Source organism: Homo sapiens, chromosome 7 (assembly GCF_000001405.40).
Source record: "Homo sapiens chromosome 7, GRCh38.p14 Primary Assembly".
NCBI classification, from domain to species: Eukaryota; Metazoa; Chordata; class Mammalia; order Primates; family Hominidae; genus Homo; species Homo sapiens.
Genome location: NC_000007.14, coordinates 63,784,942 through 63,790,994, shown reverse-complemented (window position 1 = coordinate 63,790,994; position 6,053 = coordinate 63,784,942). Strand labels below are relative to the sequence as shown.

General features: G+C 51.4%; 1 annotated feature.

Annotated features, from left to right (window-relative positions):
• Nucleotides 227-726: an enhancer, noted in NCBI's record as "H3K27ac hESC enhancer chr7:63250647-63251146 (GRCh37/hg19 assembly coordinates)". NCBI's record gives its function as "activates a minimal SCP1, AML or CMV promoter by ChIP-STARR-seq in naive H9 embryonic stem cells {active_cell/tissue: H9 hESC(naive)}" and the evidence as "EXISTENCE:reporter gene assay evidence [ECO:0000049][PMID:30033119]".

The following is a 6,053-nucleotide window of genomic DNA, read 5'->3' as shown; positions in this document are numbered from 1 at the left end:
AACTAAAATGATCAGTAACACAAACCAATCACTCCAGTTTAGCAAAGCGTGTGTTTTTAATCTGTTGTGGGTATCGTATTATGCTAATAAGCAACAATGTCTAAAAGTCATCCCAATGCCTATAACACCGCCATCTACATAACATACTTGTCCTTTACTCCAATGAAGCTTAAACTAGACTCGAACTCAGACCATTTCCCCCTCCTGGCACACCGAAATATACGAGGGGGAATCCAAGAAATCAGATATGTTAAGTGCCGGTTATCTTCTTCCAAAGTAGGGTCAAATTCGTGTTTGCCCGCAAATGTCACCGTCCTAGTAAGTCTGCAAATTCTCACTAGCGCTGGAGTACAAAGAGGCCTGATCACGGAAACACCTGTCCTAGCACCAGGAAGACAGTGGGAAATATAACCCTCCCTGGGTCCGAGCCCGCCCCAAAGACTCAGCAGCAGCGATGGTGGGGACAAGAGGCGGCCGCTGGTCTCGCGGGTGCTGCGGACAGGGTCCCACACCCCCGGCCCGCCTCCCGAGAACGAGGAAACCTGTCAAGCCGCCGGGACCCACACTCCGCAGCCCCCTCGCGCTCCTGCCCAGCCCAGCCCCAGCGCGCCCGACCGCTCCCCATCTGCCCCAGCCTCTGGGCTGCACTCGGCCACCTCATTCTTCCCCGGCGACCTCGCGGCCCCGCCACCTCCTCCCCGCGACCTGGGCTCGGGTCGCCCCCGGGCAGGAGCGCCCGACCGCCGCCTCCCGCCCAGCCCCGACCCAGTCAGTTCCCCCGCGGCCCGGTCCCCTCCGCCTCCAGGCCCGAGCTCCCACCGCGCGCTCCCCAGCCCCAGCCTCTGCCCTCGCCCCGCTTGGCAGCCCCTGGCCCACACCCCCACGCCGGCTATCTGGAGCCAAGCGCAGCGGAGCGCTTCACCCACGGTCCCAGGTCGCAGAGGGCCCGGTGCTCGGCGTCCCGCCCTTCTCCAGCTCCACGTGGTAGGCGTAGATGGAGAGCAGGATCCCGGCGGCAGCGCACACTGCGTATCAGGTCACCTTCTCCCACCGCGGCACCGACACTCAGCAGGACGTGCGCCGCCGTCTGCCTCCCTCCGCCTCCGCCTCAGCCGCCGCCGCTGCCGCCCCATTGGCTCCGTCGCCTGCTCCGGGCCCCGCCCCGACAGGCGCGCGGCCCCACCGCCCCGACAGGAGTGAGGCGGGCGGGGCGGGGAAGGCGCGCGCAGGCGCCGAAGGAGTGGACAGAGAGCGCAACTACCCTGGAGGCCCGATCGGCCGGCGGAAACTGAGGCAGCGCGCCACGGCGCCCGCGAGGCTTGGGGCCCGGGGAGAGAGGGGCGGGGCCGGGAGGGACGGGGCCAGGCGGGCCAGCGCGGGGAGGGACTCCGGGGAGCGGAGCAAGGATGCCACTGTGGGTGACTGGGCGAGGCCTCGGCCCCTCCCTCTGGACGTGGCACTCAATTGCTATCCTTTTTCCCTTTTTCGTCGTTATCACTTGATATTTCTGACCCAATCCAAATCAACCCTGGCCAATGCTTGGAGCTTTAGAGCCACACTCCTATGACTTGATCTTACCACTACCACCTAAGGGCACTCTGTGTTCAACCTGTGCAAAACTTTTTTTTTTAATGTTCAAAACTATGTTTTAAATTTCAAAACTGTTTTTAAAAAATGATTTATGGGCCGGGCGCAGTGGGTCACGCCTGTAATCCCAACGCTTTGGGAGGCCGAGGCAGGTGGATCACTTGAGGTCAGGAGTTTGAGACCAGCCTAGTCTACATAGTGAAACCTCATCTCTAATAAAAATACGAAAAAAAAATATTAGCCGGGTGTAGTGGTGGGCGCCTGTAATCCCAGCTACTCGGGAGACTGAGGCATGAGAACTGCTGGAACCCGGGAGGCGGAGGTTGCAGTGAGCTGAGATCGTGCCACTGCACTCCAGCCTGGGCAATAGAGTGACAGTCTCAAAAAAAAAAAAAAAAAATTTTATGAATGCCTTGCTTCTCTGTAAGCTGAATTTGAGGTGGCTTGTCGTAAATCGTAGAATACAGAAAAATATAAAGATGAGCTAATATAATCAGGACGAAGAAAATGAAAAGTCAGAATAAAATGAAAGGCCAGGAATAAGAACACAGGGCCGGGTGCGGTGGCTCACGCCTGTAATCCCAGCACTTTGGGAGGCCGAGGCGGGCGGATCACGAGGTCAGGAGATCGAGACCATCCCGGCTAAAACGGTGAAACTCCGTCTCTACTAAAAATACAAAAAATTAGCCGGGGGTAGTGGCGGGCGCCTGTAGTCCCAGCTACTTGGGAGGCTGAGGCAGGAGAATGGCGTGAACCCGGGAGGCGGAGCTTGCAGTGAGCCGAGATCCCGCCACTGCACTCCAGCCTGGGCGACAGAGCGAGACTCCGTCTCAAAAAAAAAAAAAAAAAAAAAAAGAACACAGATAAGCAGGCCATAGGGACTTACACAATTATGAAAATTGCATCATAAATTTGGCTCTGAGCTTCCTGGTGGCCAAAACTAAAAGGAAAACAGATGCATGTGCTTTTCTCCCTGTCTTTAAGAAGAAACACAGTGTTCTTGGAGATTTTCAGTGTTTCCCTGGTTGCAGCTTCCATTTTTTCAGGGGCTTTATATAGTGATGTTGAGTAATAAGCAATATCCTTGTATTCGTTATCTATTGTTGGGTAAAAATCGCCCCAAATTCAGCAGCTTTATAAACAATAAACTTTTTTTCCTCACAGTTTCCATGGGCTAGGAATCTGGGTGAGGTTAGCTGTGTCCTCTGGCTCAGGCTCTCACGAGGATACAATCAGGGTGTCAGCCAGGGCTGCAGCTCTCTCAAGGCTTCAGAATCCTCTTTGAAACTCACTTCGACGGCTGCTGGCAGGCCTCAGGTCCTCTCTGGCTGTGGGCTGGAGACATCAGTTCTTGTCCACTTGCACCTCTTCATAAGAAGCAGCTGGCTTACTCCAGGGCTAGGGAGGGGAAAGAGGAAGAGACAGAAAAAGAAAATGAGAGACAGTTTCACAGTCCTTTTTGAAACCTAATCCCAGAAGTGACATCCCAAGATAAATAAGTATAATACATATTAAGTTATATGGTGGTAAATGCTAAGAAAATAATCAAAATTCTCCATGTGGTATTAGTTCATAGCACAGAAGTTAAGAGCTTGGGTCCAGGAGGTAGACTTGGAGTTTGAATTCTAGTTCTCTGACTTATTACCCATGTGATTTCGGGCGGGGCTATATTGCCTCTCCAAGCCTCAGTTTCCTTATTTCATTATTGTCAGTACAGAGAAAATGCTCATTTTTATAAACCTGGAGGAGTGGACCAGTAAACATCATTTGTACAGACAGGACCTGCTGACCCACCAGGCAAAAAAGAGGCCTCCACTGAGCAAGTCTACCTGCCAGATGCTACGTCATATTTAAACTTCATGAGATCTGGCCAGGCACAGTAACTCATGCCTGTAAATCCCTGTAGATCAAGGCGGGAGGATTGCTTGAGGCCGGGAGTTCAAGGCTGCAGTGAGCCATGATTGTACCACTGCACTCCAGCCTGGGCAACAGAGTGAGACCCTGTCTCCACAAATAAATAAACATCTTATGATCTGTACCAGGGTACAGGCAGGTGTTATTATCCTCACTTTTCATCCTCAACTCTGAGATGAGTCATACATCAACTCTGATGACCTTTGCTTCCACTCCCCTTAAGCCATCCACAGGAATAGCTACTTTACATAGAAAAGTCAATCTGAGAGGGTTGAGTGACTTGCCCAATTACTGTAAAAGGTAGAGCTTCAATTAGCACCAAAGCCCATCTGATGCTAGTATTCCCTCTCCACCCATCCACGTGGCTTCCTGGTACTTATTTTAATTTTTTTTTTTTTTTTGAGGTGGAGTTTCACTCTTGTTGTCCAGACTCAAGTGCAATGGTGCTGTGGCTCACTGCAACCTCCATGTCCTGGGTTCAAGCGATTCTCCTGCCTTAGGCACCCGAGTAGCTGGGATTACAGGTGCCTGCCACCATGTCCAGCTAATTTTTTTTTTTTTTTGAGATGGAGTCTTGCTCTGTTGCCCAGAATAGAGTGCAGTGGTCCAATATTGGCTCACTGCAACATCCATCTCCTGCTTTCAAGCAATTCTTCTACCTCAGCCTGCTGAGTAGCTGGGATTACAGGCACCCGCCACCACACCCAGCTAATTTTTGCATTTTCAGTAAAGACAGGGTTTCACCATGTTAGCCAGGCTGGTCTCGAACTCCTGACCTCAGGCAATCCACCCACCTCAGCCTCCCAAAAGTGCTGGGATTACAGGCGCTAGCCACCGCGCTGGGCCCATTTTTTGTATTTTTAGTAGAGATGGGGTTTCACCATGTTGACCAGACTGGTCTTGAACTCCTGACCTCAGATGATCCACCCACCTCGGCCTCCCAAAGTCCTGGGATTACAGGCATGAGCCACCGTGCCTGGCCTTGGCTTCCCTTTAATAAATCACCACTCAATTTGATGTGGAGGATCTGTTCTTTCCCAGAATATAATGAATGGAATATTTCCCAACCCACTTCCTCTGTTTTATCAGTGTAATCAAGGGCTAGGGTGTTCCCTTCTTCTTGCCTCAAGGTGAAACAGAGGGGGCTCCCCTGTGCTCTGTAGCAGGCTAGATCTAGGCTTAAATCCTAAAGTGTGCAGAGACTCCGCTGCACACTGCCATCCCAAGGCCCCTGTGATGTGTCTCGACTGGGGTCCTCTCCCTCCAAGCTCTGTGAACCTCAGGGCTGGGACCCTGAAAATAATTTAAGACAGGCATAAACAAGACCCCGGCTGCCAACCTAAACTTAGTCTCAGAGCTCAGGTACATGCAGGAACCCTGAAGCCCATGACTTCTCACACCCCTGCCATCCTATTCTTAGTTCTTTGTCTAAAATAATTTAAACATTTTATTTATTTTAATTTTTTATTTGTTTTTTTGAGACAGAGTCCTGCTCTGTCACCCAGGCTGGAGTGCAGTGGCATGATTTCGGCTCACTGCAACCTCTGTCTCCTGGGTTCAAGTGATTCTCCTGCCTCAGCCTCCTGAGTAGCTGGGATTACAGATGCCTGCCACCATGCCTGGCTAATTTTTGTATTTTTAGTAGAGACAGGGTTTTACCATGTTGCCCAGGCTGGTCTCGAACTCCTGACCTCAGGTGATCCGGCCTCCCAAAGTGCTGGGATTAAAAGTGTGAGCCACCACACCTGGCTGAGACTATATTTTTTTTAATTAAAAAATGTTTTTTGAGGCCAGGCACAGTGGCTCATGCCTGTAATCCCAGTACTTGGGGATGCTGAGGCAGGCAGATTATTTGAGGTCAGGAGTTTGAAACCAGCCTAACCAACATAGTTAAATCCAGTCTCTACTAAAAATACAAAAATTAGCGGGGTATGGCGGTGGGTGCTTGTAATCCCAGCTACTCGTGAGGCTGAGGCAGGAGTATCACTTGAGCCTGAGAGGCGGAGGTTGCAGTGAGCAGAGATCACACCACAGCACGATCATAGCTCACTGCTGCCTCAGATTCCTGGGCTCCAGCCATCTGCCTGCCTCAACCTCCTGAGTAGCTGAGATTACACGCACGCACCACCACACCCAGTGTGAGAAACAAATGCACCCGTCCAAACCCAAAGAATGGACTCAGAGACCCAGAGCACAGAGAAAGTGAGACTTTTAATGATGGTCTTGCAGGATCGGGTGTCTGGCACCAGGCACACATAGCACAGTTTCAACAAGCAATGTATCCCTTCGTCTGCAGGTACCTCCCCTGGTTCCTCATAGGCTGAGTACTATGGGGTCACAATCTTCCTGGATGTTGCCTATTGGTTGTTGGGTAGGGGCTGTAGGTGTTTTCTTTAGGGTTGTTAGAAATACCAGAATTGTTAGAAATAGATAATTGGTGCCATGAAGAAAAGTCAGCATGAAGACAAAAGATCTCTCAGCAAGGCAATCTTTACTTTCTGCGGAAAGGGTGCTCAATCACAGATGGAACAATGGCAAGAGCACACCTGAGC